The 19,879-nt window shown below is 36.6% G+C and overlaps 1 long non-coding RNA gene across 1 annotated transcript in view; it reads left to right on the top strand.

Annotated features, from left to right (window-relative positions):
• LOC112268136 (uncharacterized) overlaps window positions 1-16,634 on the top strand; it is a 55,886-nt gene extending 39,252 nt beyond the window's left edge. The window contains exons 4-5 of the long non-coding RNA NR_169588.1: window positions 3,218-3,308; window positions 16,491-16,634. This is a non-coding gene — a long non-coding RNA (uncharacterized LOC112268136). The remainder of the gene's footprint in view (window positions 1-3,217; window positions 3,309-16,490) is intronic.
• The last annotated feature ends 3,245 nt before the right edge of the window (window positions 16,635-19,879 follow it).

Below are 19,879 nucleotides of genomic sequence, written 5' to 3' on the forward strand. Positions count from 1 at the left end.
AAATAGAAAATAAAAATAATATTCACAGCAGCAACAAACACTATAAAGATTTTAGAGAGTAACATGAAGAATACATAAGACCTTTATGGAGAACATTTTAAAACTTTATTAAAGAATACACAAAACAAAATGTGAATAAGTGGAGAGGTAAATTATGCTTATGAATAAGATAACTTATTTTAAAGATAAGCCTGTAATTTCAATGTAATTTTAATTAACATTTCATAAGGATTGTTGGAGAATCCTGAAAAGTAATAAAATATATTTATAAGAATAAACATTGGGCCGGGCGTGGTGACTCACACCTGTAATCCCAGCACTTTGGGAGGCCTAAGCGGGTGGATTACGAGGTCAGGAGTTAAAGACCAGCCTGGCCAAGATGGTGAAACCTCGTCTCTACTGAAAAACTACAAAAATTAGCTGGGCGTGGTGGCAGGTGCCTGTAATCCCAGCTATTCTGGAGGCTGAGGCAGGAGAATTGCTTGAACCCGGGCGGCAGAGGTTGCAGTGAGCCGAGATCGCCCACTGCACTCCAGCCTGGGAAACAGAGTGAGACTCCGTCTCAAATAAATAAATAATGAATAACTAACAAAACATTTTTAATTAAAGAGCAAAGAGGAAGGTAAAATTGCTACATAATTAGAGAAATAAAATGATGTGCTACTGGATAAAAAATAAGCAAATAAAATAGCAGAAATAAATAAAAGAAGGGACCTGCACAGGTATGTCACTCTACTCTGCTATAGTTTGTAGAGTACAATTAACTCTGTGTATCTGAAATACAGGAAAATACAAAGAAAAAGAAATTACACAATGTACAAAACATCTTACACATATGAATACCAAAGGAAAAATGTGGATAAAAGATAAAAGAAAAACTATTTGCTGTTTTTCATTGAAAAGAAAACATGAGGCAGGGTGAACAGGTATAAAGGCATGGCTGGGTGAAACAGTGTGGTATGTTTGGGGAAGTGCTAGTGATTTAGAGTGGCTGGAGCTTGGGATGCATACCTGGGTAGGTGGTGGAGATGAGGCTGATGAAGTCTAGAGAGCTCAGATCGAGAATACCTTGTGTTTTAAAGTAAGGAGTTAAAAAATGTAGGGAGGCCATTGAAATCTATGAATAGGAAGAATGACAGACTGCATTTGACATACTCAGTACCATAGAGATTGGATTGGAAAGGCTGAAGCAAGGAAGACAGGAGACTACTGCAAGGTGTTTAATTTGATGTGGTAGCCAAGGGAGCAAAAGAAGTCAAAAATGTGACTTTGAGATTCTGAGTGAAGTACACAGTGATTTCATTAAACAAGATAGAGAAGATGGTGGTGCAGACAAGATTCCCCAGATCCCAAGAGTCAGTGTGTAAAATCATGCTTTATGGATAAGACCAGTTAGATATACGCTAAATGTAATATACAATCATCTTTGCTTAACCATGAGAATATGGTCTGAGGAATCTGTCAGGTGATTTCATGGCTGTGCAAACATTGTGACTGTGCAAACTTACACAAACCTAGATGGTATAGCTTGTTTCACACCTAGGCTATGTGCTATAGCCTATTGTTCCTAGGCTACCAACCTGTACAGCATGCTACTGTAATGAACACTGTAGGCAACTGTAACACAATGAGAAGTATTTGTGTATGTCAACATTTCTAAACCTAGAAAAGGTACAGTAAAAATACTGTATTATAATCTTATGGGACTACTGCCATATATGTGGTCCGTCATTGACTGAAACATCCTTAAGGGGTGCATGACTATATTCTGAAACAAAGGCAAGAAGTATAAAATCAGGCTATATTAGCATATATATAACTGCTATGGCTATATATATATGTATGTATATGTGTATGTATACATATATGCTATATATATATGCTATACATAGCTATATATATATATATATATATATATATATATATATATATAGCCATAGCAGTTATAGCATATATAGCATGGCCATAGCAGTTATAGCATATATAGCATAGCATATATAGCATGGTTATATATAGCATATATATAACAAATAACTCCTTGTTTCTATCTGAAACATGATAAACTTAGATAACTTGTCAGAAGGTAGAGGTTGTAGCATGTATTCAGTACTTTTCATTGATAAAAGAGATAAAATAGGTCAACAGCAATTAGTATGTTAATAAGGAAGAAGCCCCTCGAGTGGGGGAAGATGTTTATGATTTCTCCTTGGTCTGGGTATAATATTTCTGTGAGGTCAGAGCCCTGCTTGAATAGCTACCACTTTGTTCTACTTCTGCTTATCATACAGCTTCTCTTATCGATTGCTTCAGGGGTGAGTGCAGAGACACAGAGATAATTGGTTTTGCAGATATATTGATGTGTGTAAAAAATTTTGTATATTTTCTGTAAAATAGAAAACTGGCAATTTAATTAATGTCTCTTGTAAACATATTAGGGTCATTAGGTTTCCCTGTATATAGTTGACTTTGGAGCACTAGACAAGATCAGGTTCATGGATGTAAAAAGCTAAGGCCTGGTCCCACATCATGATACATTCACCAAATTTCATCCAGGGAGATTTCTAGGCAGCCAGCCATTTGGCTTTTCTCCAGCCAGTTGAGATGTATGTGAGACAGTTAAATGGAAATGTTTAAAAATGTTGGAATTGGAGTGAATCTGGGCTGACGAAAGAGAACTTGAAGAACTGGTGTTAGATGCTGTTTTAGGAGGGAGTGAGATTTCCCCAGGAGGAGTATGCAAATTAAAAAGAAAAGCAGGTTATTACTTGAACTAGCACAACCCTTACATAAAAGGATAAGGGGAGTCAAAGCAATCAGACAATTTTCCTTTTCCAAAATACTTATCAGGAAGTCAACAACTGAGGCAAAGATTTTAAGTGTTTAGGATTTAAGTGAGGTTGTTGTTAGCAACAAGAAAGGAAAAGACAAGATGACAGTGAGGCAGATTGGAAAAAAGAAACAAAAATATTATCTGATGCAACGTGGAATAACCAGGAAGAGGATGGCAACAGAGTTATAGCTGAGATTTCTGAACTGAGACACTGGCAATTCAAATGAGACAGTAAAAGAACATTACAGAATATTTAGTTTTGATAGAAGAGCAAGAATTTGTTTGGAGGGATATCAAATATAACCCTAATAAGACATCAAGGTGAGGTTTTGAGCAGCCATATTATTTTAGTACCTTTGTATTTATTCGTTGTTTATTCCCTTACAGGTAGTTAGAATGCAACACTGGAAGAATGTGAGTTTGAGACTAGAAAGAAAAATTGAGGTAGCATTCATATGGCAACTTCATATGACTTGATGTGAGTAAAAGAGATTTCTGCTGGAGGATGGGGAAGTGGTCTGCATGAGACAAAAGCTAAAATTATAACTTTGGGGAACTTTTGGAGGCTGAGGTCAGAGAAATCTAAGGAGTTTCTAGTGCAGAGTCCTAGAAATAAAAGGTGAAGAGATTTTTGGTGCCTGATCCCTCGTGTAAGAAACATAAAAGTCTTCACTACATCCTAACAGTAAGTAAAAAGCTGAACAAACTGAAACATCAGCAACTCTTCTTAGATTCATCAGAGAAGTGAGGTCACAGGGCAAACCACTGCACCCCAAAATTGGAGAGACAGACAGGTGAATACTGAGACTCACAACTTAAGGGAGCAGAAATCCATGAGCAAAATCCTCTGTGGGAACTAGTGCCAGGGAAGGCAAACCCAAATTGTAATTGATGACTTGCCGATTGCTGTACGCTCAGTGTGGACAAGCCTAAGAGATGAAAACTCCAGGGGGACCCAGCTTGGGGTAGAGAGGACTCATACTTTTGTGAACTTTATCTCCAGAGGCTATACCAGGTTCTAAAAATGCATATCAGAGAAAAATACCCTCCAGGAGAGGACAGATAGGGAATTGGGAGAAAGTGATCATTTTCTTTTTCTTTTTTCTTTCTTTTTTTTGAGACCGAGTCTCGCTCTGTCGCCCAGGCTGGAGGGCAGTGGTGCGATCTCGGCTCACTGCAAGCTCCGCCTCCTGGGTTCACGGCATTCTCCTGCTTCAGCCTCCCGAGTAGCTGGAACTACAGGCGCCCGCGCCTACACCCAGCTAATTTTTTGTATTTTTAGTAGAGACGGGGTTTCACCGTATTAGCCAGGATGGTCTCGATCTCCTGACCTCGTGATCGCCCGCCTCGGCCTCCCAAAGTGCTGGGATTGCAGGCGTGAGCCACCGCGCCCAGCCCAAAAGTGACCATTTTCAAATATACCAGAGCATTCTGTTCTTAACAAGACCTGACCTCAAGATGATTTTTTTTTTATCCTAACTGACTTGGGGGGAAGAAAAATAGCCAACTCCCATCCCTTCTATCCTGAACTACCTACGGTGCTGAAAAAAAAATACCAATCTGAGAAGCACTTGTGAAGCTCACAATTCAGTAGCACAAGCTCTGTAAATAACTGAAACCTAATCATGTAATCATACAACACTTCTCTTCCTTCTACATCTCGCCACCACATTACTAAAAGTCTATTTACCAGAGTTCCTTCTACACAGTACATCTTGTCCACCTTTCAACAGCACCAAAAAAATGCAAGGCACACTAAAAGGCAAAAAGCACAGTTTGAGCAGTCATTGCGAGCATCAGAACGAGACCCAGATACAGCAGGGATGTTGGAATCATCAGAGCATAAATTTTAAAAATAATTATGATTAATAAGCTAAGGGCTGTAATGAGAAAAGTAGACAACGTGCAAGAACAGATGAATAATATAAATAGAAAATAGAACTTCTTAGATAGAAGCGAAAATAAATGCTAGAGATAAAAAACACTGTAATTGAAATGAAGAGACCTTTGATGGGCTTATTAGTAGATTGGACATGGCTGAGAAAAGAATCTCTGAGCTCGAGGATGTGACGATAGAAACTTCTAAAACTGAAAATTAAAAAAAAAAATTGAAAAAAGTAGAACACATATCCAAGAACTGTAAAACAACTACAAAAGATGTAATATCCATGTAATGGGAAAACCAGAAGGAAAAGAAATAAAAGGAAACAGAAGAAATATTTGAAGCAATAATGACTGAGAATTTCCTCCTGAAATGACACCAAACTACAGATCTAGGAAGCTCAGAGAACATCAGGCAGAATAAATGCCCAAAACACTACACATAGGAATATTATATTCAAACTACAAAAAAATCAAAGATAGTGAAAAAATCCTAAGAGAAGTTAGAAGAATACGAAACCTTAGTTATAGAAGAGCAAAGATAAGAATTATATCTGACTGCTCCTTAAAAACCATGCAAATAGGAAGAAAGTGGAGTAAAATATTTAAGATTTTGAGAGAAAATAAGCACCAACCTAGAATTCTAAGGTTTGCAAAATTATTCTTCAAAAGTAAAGGGAAAAGTCCACCTCAGAGAGAAGGAATATGTTGCCAGTAAAGCTGTCTTGCAAGAAATCTTAAAATAAGTTTTCTAAAAGAAGGAAACTGATATTGTTCAAAAACTTAGAACTGTATAAGGAAAGGAAAAACATCAGACAATGAATAAGTAGAGGCAAAACTAAAATACTTTTCTCATTCTTAATTGATGTAATGGATAACAGTTTGTTCTAAATAATAGCAATAATGCATTTGATAATTACATTGTATATATAAGTGAAATGAATGACATCAATGATGTAAAAGACATGAGGAGGAATTAGGGATATTTTGTTTTAATAAAGTACTTGCACTGCCTGTGAAGTGGTATAGTGTTATTTGACAGCAGACTTTTGTTAGCTGTAAAGGTGTGTTGCAAACTCTAGGACAACCGCTAAAAAAAAGTAACAAAAGAAATATTATTGATGTGCTAAGAAAGAAGAGAAAATGGAATCATATAAAATGTTCAGTTTAAATCACAAAAGGCAGAAGAAGAGTAGAACATAAAAAAAGGGGGAAAAGGACAAAGACAATAACTAGAAAATGATAGCAAATATGGTAGATATTAATCCAGCTATATCAATAATAGTAGTCTAAATACACTAATCAAGACAGGAGAGAGAGCCAAGATGGCTGACTAGACACAGCCAGAAGGAACAACTCTTACCAAAAGACCAGGACATCAGGACGACTGGCACACTTTGAGCAGATCTTCAGAGGGAAAACACTGAGAGTGGACCAAGGGAGGACACAGACATTGGACTGATGGGAGAGGAAGCTGGGAACGCTGGGGCTGCAAAGCACTGGGACCTACTGCAGGCCTCCAGTGACTCCTGGGGAAGGAGTGAGTTGAACAGGTGAGGAGTGGCTCACTCTCACCACAGACCTCTGGAATCCTAGCTGCAGAAAGCCCACCATCCACATGGACACTGGAGCTGGCAGGGAGAGCTGTTTAGAGAGATGGCAGGGGCAGGACTCCAGCCTGTGTGGAACCTATAGGGTTTGGTGCAGGAAGGTCTGCAATGGAGCATGGCCAAGAATGCTCAACCCCCAACGCTCTCCAAGCTCCTCTAGGTGTCCCTAGCCTTTGAGTGACTGTTGAACCTGGACAGAGCAAGAACATCTTGTCTATGAAATGGGGTTCCCTGTTTCCTAGCCTCTCCTGGACAACCAGCCTACCCACCCCCAATTACAGCACTGCCTTGGATGCACAACCAGGGTGATTCTCAGGTGCCCTCATCATAGCTCCTTTGCTGGTACCATCCCTGACCATTGGAGAGCTCCAGCTTCTCTGACTCATACACGTCCTGCCCCCACTACAGCCTCCCCTTGGGTCTTTGCCACATGCACTCACCCATGGTCTTCTCCCACTGCTTTGCAAGTGCATTCATGTAACCAAACCTCACTATCACATCCCCAATGGTATGCATGTGTGTGCACACCTCACCACTTCACCAACCATCAGAGCAAGTTCATCCTGCCACCCCACCCACCCTTGCTGGCAGTCCACCCCTACTGAGGTGTGGGCAGCCCACTGCACTGCTTCCACTGCTGCTGCTGGAGTAAGTGCTTGCACAGGTGCTGGAAACTCACCCCTGCTAGCACCCTGCCCAACTGACACCCTACCCCCTGCCAGTGCCCCAGAGTTAGAGCACACAGCTGAACAGCGCTGAGTTGAGCCTTGGTCTCCCGAAATCTTCCAGAATTGAAGATAGTCTACTAAACCCACCTGATATCACAGTCAAACTCTCAAGGGCACTAAAAATAAAAGTTAAAAAAAAAATCCAAAGGACAGCAACTTCAAAGATAAAAGGACCATCAGCCCACACAGATCAGAAAGGTCAGCACAAGAACTCTGGCAACTCAAAAAGCTAGGGTGTTTTCTTGAGTCCAAATGATTTCACTAGCTCCCCAGCAATAGTTCTTAACCAGGCCAAAATGATAGACATAGAATTTAGAATATGGATAGAAACAAAGATCATCAAGATTCAGGAGAAAGTTGAAACTGAATCCAAGAAATCTAAGGAATAAATAAAACAATATTTGAAGATATTGTCCACAAAAATTTCCCCAACCTCAAGAGAGCAGCCAATGTTCAAATTCAGGAAATGCAGAGAACCCCTCCAAGATGCTATACAAGGTGACCATCCCCAAGAAACAAAGCCCTCAGATTCTCCAATGTTCATATGAAAGAATAAATATTAAAGACAACTAGAGAGAAAGGGCAAGTCACCTACACAGGGAACTCCATCAGGCTAACAGCAGACCTTCCAGCAGAAAACTTACAAGTGAGTAGAGATTGGGGTCCATATTCAGCACTCTTAAAGAAAACAAACTCCAATGAAGAATTTCATATCTGGCCAAACTAAGCTTCATAAGCAAAGAAGAAATAAGATCCTTTTCAGGCAAGCAAATGCTAGGGTAATGTGTTACCACAAGATCTGCCTTACAAGAGGTCATTAAGGGAGTGCTAAATATGGAAACAAAAAACCATCACTAGCAACCACAAAAACACACTTAAGTACATAGATCATTGACAATATGAAGCAACTACACAATTAAGTCTACATCGTAACCAGTAACACCACAATAACAGGATCAAATCCACATGTATCAATATTAACCTTCAATGTAAATGGGCTAAGTGCCCTAATTAAAAGGCACAGAGTGACAAGTTCGATAAAGAAGCAAGACCCAACTGTATGCTGTCTTCAAGAGATTAATCTCACATTCAATGACACTCATAGGGTTAAAGTAAAGAAATGGAAAAAAATCTACCAAGCAAACAGACAACAACAAAAATCAGGGGTTGCTATTCTAATTTCAGACAAAACAAGACTTTAAACCAACAATGATCAAAAAGATAAGAGCATTACAGAATGGCAAAGGGTTCAACTCAACAGGAACTCTTAACTATCCTAAATATATATACACCCAACACAGGAGCATCCAGATTTATAAAACAAGTTCTTAGAGATTTAAAAGAGCCTTAGATAACCACATGATAATAGTGGGAGACTTCAACACCCCCATGGCAGTATTAGATAGATCACTGAGGCAGAGAAACAACAAAGACATTTGGGACCTAAACTTGACACTTGACCAAATGGACCTAAAAGACATCTACAGAACTCTCCAACCAAAACCAACAGAATATATATTATTCTCATCTGCACATGGCACATACTGTAAAATCAACCACACAATTGGCCATAAAACTATTTTCTGCAAATTAAAAAAAAATGAAATTATACCAACAACACTCTTAGATCACAGTGTAATAAAAATAGAAACCAATGCTAAGAATATCACCCAAAGCCATACAATAACATGGAAATTAAACAACCTGTTCCTGAATGACTTCTGGGTAAATAATGAAATTAAGGCAGAAAGCAAGAAATTCTCTGAAACTAATGAGAACAAAGATACAACATGCCAGAATCTGTGGGACACAGCTAAAGTAGTGTTAAGAGGAAAGTTTATAGCATTAAATGCCCACATCAAAAAAGTAGAAAGATCTCAAATTCACAGCCTAACACCACACCTTGCCTTACAAGAGGTCTTTAAGGGAGTGTTAAATATGAAAAAAAACCATCACTAGCAACCACAAAAACACACTTAAGTACATAGATCATTGAAGAAATCAAGAAAAACAAGAGCAAACTAACCCCAAAGCTAGCAGAAGACAAAAAATAACAAAAATCAGAACTTAACTAAATGAAATTAAGATGTGAAAAGCCATACAAAAGATCAATGAAACCATAAGTTGGTTATTGAAAGAAAAAATTACATTTATAGACTGCTAGCTAGACTAAAAAGAAAAAAGAGAGAAGACCCAAATAAATGCAATCAGAAATGAAAAAGGCGACATTACTACTGACCCCACAAAAATACAAGAAACCTCAGAAGCTGTTACAAACACCTCTATACACAGAAACTAGAAAACCTACAAGAAATTGATAAATTCCTAGAAATATACAGCCTTCCAAGATTGAACCAAGAAGAAATTGAAACCTGAACACACCAATAATGAGTTCCAAGATCGAATCAGTAATAAAAATCCTACCAACCAGAAAAAGCCCAGGATCTGACAGTTTCCAGCCAAATTCTACCAGACATATAAAGAAGAGCTGCCACAGTTTCTGCTGAAACTATTCCCAAAAATTGAGGTAGAGAGCCTCCTTCTCAACTCATCCTATGAGGCCAGCATTATTCTGACACCCAATAGTGGCAGAGACACAACAAAGAAAGAAATCTTCAAGCCAATATCCCTAATGAACATAGATGCAAAAATCCTCAATATGAAAATCAATAACTGTGATTCATCACATAAACAGAAAGAAAAGCAAAAACCATATGATCATCTCAATTGATGAACAAAAGTCTTTAATAAAATTCAACATCTCTTCATGTTAAAAAGCCTCAACATACAAGAACTGAAGGAATATAGCTCAAAATAAGAGCCATCTATAACAAACCTACAGCCAACATCATACTGAATGGGAAAAAGCTGAAAGCATTTCCCTTGATGACCAGAACAAGACAAGGATGCCCACTCTCACCACTCCTATTTAACATAACACTGGAAGTTCTAGCCAGAGCAATCAGCCAAGAGAAAGAAATAAAAGGCATCCAAATAGGAAGAGAGGAAGTCCAACTCTCTCTGTTTGCAGACTATATGATTTTTTATCTAGAAAATCCCATACACTCTGCCCAAAAGCTTCTAGAGCTGATACACAACTTCAGTAAAGTTTCAGCATACAAAATCAATGTACAAACATCAGTAGCATTTCTATAGATCAACAACATCCAAGCTGAGTGCCAAATCAAGAAAGCAATTCCATTCACAATAGCCATAAAAGTAAATACCTTAGAATATAGCTAACCAGGGAGTTGAACAATCTCTGCAACGAGAATTACAAAACACTGCTGAATGAAATCAGGCATGAAACAAACAAATGGAAAAACATTCCATGCTCATGGATAGGAAGCAAGATGTTGTTAAAATGGCCATACTGCCCAAAGCAATTTGTAGATTCAATGCTATTCCTATCAAACTTCCAATGACATTCTTCACGGAAATAGAAAAAAACTATTCTAAAATTCACGTGGAACCAAAAAAGATCCTGAATAGCCAAATCGATGCTAAGTAAAAATAACAATGCTTAAGGCACACCACCTTACCCAGCTTCAAACTATACTACAAGGCTGCAGTAACCAAAACAGCATGGCACAGGTACAAAAACAGACACATATGCCAATAGAATAGAACAGAGAGCCCAGAAATAAAGCCCCACACCTAGAACCATCTGATCTTCAACAAAGCTGACAGAGCAAGCAATGGGGAAACGACTCCCTATTTAGTAAATGGTGCTGGAATAACTGGCTAGTGACATACGGAAGATTAAAACTGGACTCCTTCCTTTTACGATACTAACAAATCAGCTAAAGATGGATTAAAGACTAAAATGTAACACCTAAAACTATAAAAACCCCTGAAGAAAACCTAAGGAACACTATTCTGGACATAGGCCCTGGCTAAGATTTCATGACGAAGATGCCAAAAGCAATGAAACAAAAACAAAAATTTACAAATTGGATGTAACTAAGCTAAAGAGCTTCTGTATAGCGAAAGAAAATATCAACAGAGTAAACAGACAACCCACAGAAAGGGAGAAAATATTTGCAAACTATGCATCTGACAAAGGTTTAATATCCAGATTTATAAGAAACTTAAACAAATTAATAATAAAAATCCCCATTAAAAAGTAGGCAAAGGACATGAACAGACACTTCTCGAAAGAAGACATATACATGGTCCAGAAGCATATGAAAAAATGCTCAACATCACTAATCATTAGAGAAATGAAAATCAAAACCACAATGAGCATCTCACACCAGTCAGAATGGTTATTATTACAAGTCAAAAAATAACAGATGCTGGCAAGGTTGAAGAGAAAAGGGAACACTTACACACTCCTGGTGGGAATGTAAATTAGTTCATCCACTGTGGAAAGCAGTTTGGAGATTTCTCAAAGAACTTACAACTACCATTCAATCCAGCAATCCCATTACTGGGTGTATACCCAAAGGAATATAAATCATTCTACCACAAAGACACATGCACACATATGTTATTGCAGCACTATTCACAATAGCAAAGATATGGAATCAACCTAAATTCCCATCAATGGTAGACTGAATAAAGAAAACATGGTATATATACACCATGGAATGCTATGCAGTCATTAAAAATATGAGATCATGTCCTTCACAGCAACATGAATGAAGCTGGAGGCTGTTATCCTAAGCAAACTAACACAGGAACAGAAAATGAAATAGTGCACGTTCTCACTTATAAGTGGGAGCTAAACATTGTGTACACATGGACACAAAGAAGAGGGTAATCAACACTGGGGCCTACTTCAGGGTGAAGGGAGGGAGGAGGGTAAGGATTGAAAAACTATGAATTGCGTACTATGCTTATTACCTTGATGATGAAACAATCTATACATCAAACCGCTGCAAAATGCAATTTACCTGTATAACAAACCTGCACATGTACCCCTGAACCTAAAATAAAATTAATTTAAAAAAGACAAGATTGTCAGTGTGGATCAGAAAACAAGACCCAACTCTATGTTGTTTACGAGAAATCCACTTTAAATATAAAGACATATATGGATTAAAAGTAAATGAATAAAGAGATGTCATACTAACACTAATCAAAAGAAGAAAACAGGAGTAGTTATATTAATTTCAGACAGAGAAGACTTATGAGCAAGGAAATTATCAGAGATAAAAAAGGGCATTACATAATAATAAGTGGTCAGTTTTCCAAGAAGACAACACTCCTTAAAGTGTATATACCTAACAACAGACTGTCAAAATATGTGAGGCAAAAACTGATAGAATTGCAGGGAAAAATAGATGAATGCACTCTTATAGTTGGAAATTTTAACACTCCTCTATCAGAAATGGACAGACCCAGGAGTCAGAAAAATCCCTAAGGACATAGTTGAAATCAACAGCATCATGAATCTGCTGGACATCTATAAACTCCTTAATATATCAACAGCAGAATACACATTCTTCTCAAGCTTACATGGAACATCCACCAAGATAGTCCATATTCTGGGTCATGAAACATACCTTAAGAAATTTAAAAGAATAGAAATTATATAATGTATTATCTCAGGCTACAGTAAAATATATACTAGAAATCAATAACAGAAAGATAAGGAAAATTGCAAAGTATTTGGAGGGTAAACAAAACACTCCTAAATAACACATAGACCAAAGAAGAATAGAAATTTAAAAATACTTTTAACTAAATTGAAATGAAAATACAATTTATCAAAATTTGTGGGATGTAGCATTGAGTGCAGATATTACAAAAGGAGAAGAATCTAGAGATAATAATATAAGCCTCTGCCTTAGGAAGCGAGAAAGAACAAATTACACCAATGTAAACAGAAGAAAATATGTGATTAAAAAATAGAGCAGAAATCAATGAAATTGAAAACAGTAAATCAATCGACCAAATCAACAAAACTAAAAGCTGGCTTTGGGAAAGATATACGAAATGAATAAGCCCCTAACCAAGCTAAGAAAAAGAGAGGCTGTGTTATGTTAACTTTCATATCTAAGTGTATGATACATTTCAAAGCAATTTAGTATATATGCTAAGGTAGGGTTCAAGGTTAGTTTTCTCTATACAGATATTCCAGTTTATTCAGTATACTTACTGAAAAGACTATCATTTCCTCCACTGAATTTCGCTGTTGTCTTTGTCATAAATCAAAAGGTTCTATATGTTTGGATCTGTTTCTGGACTCTACTCTGTTCCATGGACCCATTTGTCTATTGTTGCACCTACATTCTGTCCTGGTTACTGTAGCTTTATGGCACCTGGCACAATATCTGGTACTATAAGTATCCAACTTTGTTATTCCTTAAGATTATTATAGTTATTCTACTTCATTTGTATTATATATTTTAGAATCAGCTAGCCAGGTTTTACAAAAACAGCTTCTTATAAATTTATTAATTAAAATATTAATAAACTAAAAAAAAATTAAAAATTTATTAAGCAGATGATTTTCTATGAGACAAGGGACAGAATGTTTCAGGTGTGAAAGTAATCATTTACATATTTTGTCATTCACTCTGCAAGCATTATTGAACAGCAATGATTGATGCAAGAATAGTTGAAGGAATTACTTTTCCCAGCCCCTAGCAAGAGAGAAAAATAAAACAAAAATTCTATTGTTCAGGATCTGATATAGTAATTTGACTTGTATCTTTTTAGTAAGTAGAGGAAATACAGCCCAGTCCTTTTTCAATTGTACAACAATTTTACACTTGCAAGATAAAATAGCACTGGACTTTTATTTTGCCTAATGGGACCTCAATCTCTAGGTTAAACTTCAAAAGCACCAATTTCAAAATGTCTAAGACATATTGAAGTATAATTTCATGCTTTAGTAATGTTCAAAAATTTCTAACTTGTCTTAACCCAATATTTTTTATAATAAAACAAAAATAAACCATTTACTTAAAATTTTCAATAATTCTAATATTTTGACCCTGAAATCATGTTGAAAATAGTTCCCAAGGCTAGAAAAGGAAATTTTATTTTAAAAAATTATCTTCGTTGACCCTCTTTTGACCAAGAGTTGTCGATTTGGGGGAAGGATAGGAGACAAATATGTTTCTGAACCACGTAAGACCGATGAGCTCCCCAGCGTGTTTCTTTCTGCATTCTGCATCTTCTCCATCCTTCTATGCATTTAATTTTGTGTTTCATCTGTTGCCTCATAGCCCTTCCTGCTGCTTCTCTTACTAGAATACTTTCTGCCACACATGGAGGAAATATTTTCCCTTAAGAACCTACCCTTCCTGGGTGCCGTGGCTCATGCCTGTAATCACAGCACTTTGGGGGGCCAAGGCCAGCAGATTGCTTGAGCCCAAGAGTTAGAGACCAGCCTAGGCAACATAGTGAGAACCCATCTCTAACAAGAAAAAGGTACGCCAGGCATGGTGGGGTCTCTGCCTGTAGTCCCAGCTACTCAGAAGGCTGAGGTGGGAGGACGGCTTGAGCCCAGGAAGCCAAGGTTGCATTCCACTTCATGCCAGCCTGGATGACAGAGAGAAACCCTGGATGACAGAGCAAAACCCTTCACACTAGCCTGGGTGACAAAGCAAAACAAACAAACAAACAAACAAACAAACAAACAAACAAAAAAACCCCCTACACTCTCTCCCACCCCACAGAGCCAAGAACTTAGGAAGCCAGTGTCATTGTGTGGGCGGGCTAAGCAATGTGGTTGTCAACAGCGAGAAGTTATGAACTCTTACCAGTATCACAGCAGTATCACAGTCCTATTTATCTAATCTCTGCTTTGTGAGAATGTGGAGGAGGTTGCTGAGGAAATGAGAGGCAGAGTTGGGAATGAGGGAGAGCTGAGGATGGGGAGGAAGAAAGAAAAAGAACAGTGCCCTGCTATCCTGGGCTTAGCTGCATGGCATCTTGAAGTGTGTCTAGCCTGGTTAAAATGCAAGAAATATACTTTTTGAAACCTAGCAGCAAAATAAATAGTGCTGTTTCTCTTAATGTGAAGTGTTAGTGATGTAGAAAAATTATAATTCTCAAAGCCTTCAGACGATAAAATGCAAAAGTCATTCAGTGATCCAAAGACCACACAGCATTAGCAAGTAACCAGATACCTAGTCTTGAAGAATAATAAAGCATCGTAAAATGGCTTGATAAATCAAGTTCTCAAGTTGCTGTGTTTTTCAAAATCCTTAATTGGGTATTAAAACTCAGTTTTACTTTCCTTGAATTGACGCTGAATTTTATCTTCAGGAAATAACCTGGAAGACCATTCTTCTTCATTTCCTCCTTTGAATAGATCAAGTTTCAAATCAGGGAAATGAAAAGAGAAGAAAAAAATGATGTATGAAGTCAAATGGAAGACTGAACTAAAAATAACTCTTCTAAAATACAAAACAATATGCTAAAATCAGCTAGAATGGGCTGAAAAATTAGACAAGGAGCAAAATCAAAGCACGAGTTTCATTGTTATGTTCTTTAAGAATGCAAAGTGCTTCTCAAGCACTGGGTATGAAAATGGGCAGATCTTAGTGCTCTCTAGTTAGAACTCTAAGAATAATGCCTTTTAATAATAATGCCTTGTCATAATATTGCTATACCACAGTATGGTTTTCCCATTTCCCTTAGACATTAAATATAAGGCTCATTTTGGTATACAGTTGGGAATATTATTAAGGCAAAAATGTTAGAAGCAAGTGTTAAACATTTGAACTCAGAAACTGCCTACTGCATGTCAAACATCAGTTTGGGTTACCTCCTTTACAAACAAGGCTGTTTCATGAACACTGAATAAGACAGCAAAGCAAATAGGATAAGGAGAAGAAATGAGGATTTCTTACACATAACAAAAGGGCACATTGCTGAATAAATTAAATGGAACTAAAAAAAGATAAAGATATCAGTGTTTTTAAAGCATAATGCTAAAAGGCATAAGTAAACAGAACAGAGTAATGCTGATTCGATGGGAATTTACATTCCTTACACTAGCTTGTCATTTATATTCAATTTAAAAATGGGTCATCATGTCAGAGCCTGCAATTTATGCCATTAAGGATATTTGAGTACTGACAAAAAAACACTCCTTTTCTCAGGAACTGAGGTCATCTTATACTTTAAAAGGTGTATCATAGTTGTTGTTTTTAAAATGATATATTACAAATGATTTGCCGTTTTAAATAAAAATTGAGGGAATACAATTATTACCAAGTTCTCCCTAACAACTAGTGCTTTAGGACTGCTCAACTAATAGGAAAGAAAAACAAAAACATCACTAGTGGCACTTCACAGAAAGAAAATATAGACATTTTTGTTTTTTAATTCAAATTGCTCTCAAAACCATAACTGCTTCAATGCAAGAATACCTTCTTTTTTTTTTTTTTTTTTTTGCCTCAGTTGCTATCAGATAACCTTTCAGTATTTGGTGCAATGTCTACTTTAGGTAAATGCCTTTTTTTCCCTCCCACACAGGATGTGAGATTCAACTGTTCTCCTTAGTGTGTTCTCTCTGCAATTCCAGACCCCATGAAATAAATCTCTGAAGCTTGCTTGTCTCCCAAACACTGTGTAAACCCACTGAAAACTTAAGTAATGGAGTAAACAGCTTTCTGTGGCTTCCTGCTTTTACTGCTTCAGTATTCAAAATCTTTCCTTTGCCAAGATAAATAACACTAACACAATCATAAATGGAGAAAATTTCATGAACATATTAAAATAATCTCATGTATTATAAATGTTTTATTTCTAAATTCAGCTCAATTTCCCTGATGCTAATTATCCCCGGAATATTTCCGAATTTGTTTTTTAATTCACTTTTTGGAGCAATGGACTATAACTATATTCTAATTGCTTAGAATATTCTGCTTATATATCTCTGATTGTGTGTTTCTAGTTCTTTCAACCTTGATGGTTGTGGTCTTTTTATAATCAGTGCAGTAGAAGGAGACAAAAAATATCTGGACTCTGTATGTACAGAATTTGAAGTACAATTGTTTTTCATAAGAAAGCTTTATAGGTTTTTTGGACCTACTCCACATAAAGAAAATGGGGTTCACGGAAATTTTATTATTTTTCACATGCTTTTAGCAGTATGTGAGTAAATGGTGTTCAGTACCACAAATGTCTTCGAGGAAAGCCTTTACTGAGGATTTCATTTTTTCATCCATTGGCAGATAGTCTACCTCCCTTGGATTTCAACCATTTCACAAATATTTATGGAAAGTTACCAATTTTTCAGTTATTGTTTCAGCTTGTGGGACCATGAGCAAATTAAACAATAATCCAATCCTCAGGGAGCTTACATTCTAGAAGGAGAGATAGATGATAAACAACTAATATGCTACACAGTATCAGCAATGATGAATGCTGGGAAAAAAAAAACAAAATAGGATAAGGAGCTAGATAATGACTACAAAAGGGCTATTTTAGATGGAGTGGTGAAAAAAGGCTTTTTTTTTTTTTTTTTTTAGATACAGGGAGCATATGTACAGGTTTGTTACATGGGTATATTGCACTCAGGTAGTGAGCATAATCCTCAATATGTAGTTTTCAACCCAGGACCCCCTCACTTTCTCCCCCTTCTAGCAGTCTCCAGGGTCTATTCTTCCCATCTTTGTATTGATGGGTGCTCAATGTTTAGTTCCCACTTGATTTTTTTTTTTTTTTGAGGCAGAGTCTCACTATGTCACCCAGGGTGGAGTGCAGTGGCACAATCTCAGCTCACTGCAACCTCCACCTCCTGGGTTCCAGCCATTCTCATGCCTCAGCCTCCCAAGTAGCTAGGATTACAGGCACCCACCACCTAGCCTGGATAATTTTTGTATTTTTTTTTTTTTAAGTAGAGAGAGGGTTTTACCATGTTGGACAGACTGGTCTTCAACTCCTGACCTCAAGCAATCTGCCTGCCTCACCACTTATAATTAATAAGGATTATGATCTCTAGGTCCATCCATGTTGCTGCAAAAGACATGATTTCATTCCTTTTTATGGTTGCGGAGTATATCATGTTGTATATATACCACATTTTTTCATCCAATTCACCACTTATTCCACGTCTGACTCCATGTCTTTGTTATAGTGAATAGCACAGCAATTAACATGAGTGCATGTGTCTTTTTGGTAGAATGATTTATTTTCCTTTGTCTATATACCCAATAATGGGATTGCTGGGTCAAATTGTAGCTCTGAGTTTTTTGAGAAACCTCCAAACTGCTTTCAAAAGTGGCTGAACTAAATTACATTTCCACCAACACTGTATAAGAATTCCTTTTTCTCCACAACTTGGCCAGTATCTGTTATTTTCTGACTTATATAATTTGGTTATCTCATTGTGGCTTTGATTTGCATTCTCTGATGATTAGTGATGATGAGTATTTTTTCATGTTTTTTTGACTGCTTGTATGTCTTCTTTTGACATATCTATTCATGTCCTTAGCCCCCATTTTTAAATGGGGTTGTTTTGTGCTTGTTGATTTAAGTTACTTATAGATTCTGGATATTAGACTTCTCAGATGCCTAGTTTTTTTACTATTTTATGTCATTCTGTGTATTTATGTCTATTTGGCTTCCTGAAGAAGGTGGCATTTGTGCAGTGAGGCCAGTTTATACTTCAATTGATCTGTGGCTCCTTCTGGAATGACTCACTAAATCCTACAGCTCTTATTTGTTAGCTGATGTTCTTGAGCCCTGCTAATGGCCCCTGCACCCTGTAGTTTCAACTGAATAGTGAACATAAACCCTCTATCTTTGCAAGAGTCTATCAGACTGCTTACTAAAAAGGCTTTCTATTACTGAGAAACCCTATCAGGTTTGCCGCACTACAGGTGAATTGAGAAAGCAACATTAGGTTCCATAATAATGATTAATATAAGATTATATGATGATTATGACAGTGATATATAATAAAAGTCACCCTTAAAATAAAGTTTTAAAATCTATGTGTACAATTTGTTCTTGTTTTAGTTATTTTAATGGGCCCTAAAGCTCTACATATTTTCTTGTTATTGTTTCTATAAAAGTAAATATTGATTTCCTCAGAGTTTGTAACATGTTGGTTATTACAAAACAAAGTAGACCATTGCTCATTGCCTGTGATAGATGTAGTAGAAAATGTTAAAGTTGAGTCATTTTAGTACAACCTTATTGCTTTTTAATAAATTTATCTTTCTTTACTGGTTCCTTTGAAAGTACCATTTAGATTGCAGGTATTCTTGTATAGGGTAATGACAGTTTTGGCTGCAAGGATAAACTTCTGGGAGTCATCTAGATGTCAATTGTTCTCATATTTATGAATTTCCTCCAAAGACTTCAGTGAGGTAGTGAAGAAAATCTTAGTTTACAAAGAGGTGAGAGGACAAAAGATAAATATATGGCAAACATGGTGACAATATTTTTGTCTTTTACCTCTCATAATGATGGTATTCAAATTACATTTACTTGATTATTTATTACCTTGACTTTATTTTCTGAGCATGATGGTTGATTCCTCATATTGAATTTTAGTTTTACCTTTTTGCATGACTGTTTATAATATTTAAATAAACTCAACTAATCAATAAAAGCTTTTTCCCTTTAATTATGGTGATTACTTTGAAGAATCAAGTTGTCTCTTTTATAGAAATAGTAATATTAAACCAAATTTGATTATCTATTCTTTGTTATTTTATAAAAGAATGTTTAGATAATACTAACTGCTCATTAAAGTTAATTCTACTATCTTTTTTGTTAATAAATATCCCTTCTATGTATGGATCTTTAAGAAAATTAACTAGATCCTACTAATGCCAGTAATATAAGAACTTATTTTTTTTTTACAGTAAAAATTTGGCTTATATATCAGATAGAAAAGCAATCCTTAGGAG

This window comes from Homo sapiens, chromosome 14, assembly GCF_000001405.40.
Source record: "Homo sapiens chromosome 14, GRCh38.p14 Primary Assembly".
In the NCBI taxonomy this organism is placed as follows: Eukaryota; Metazoa; Chordata; class Mammalia; order Primates; family Hominidae; genus Homo; species Homo sapiens.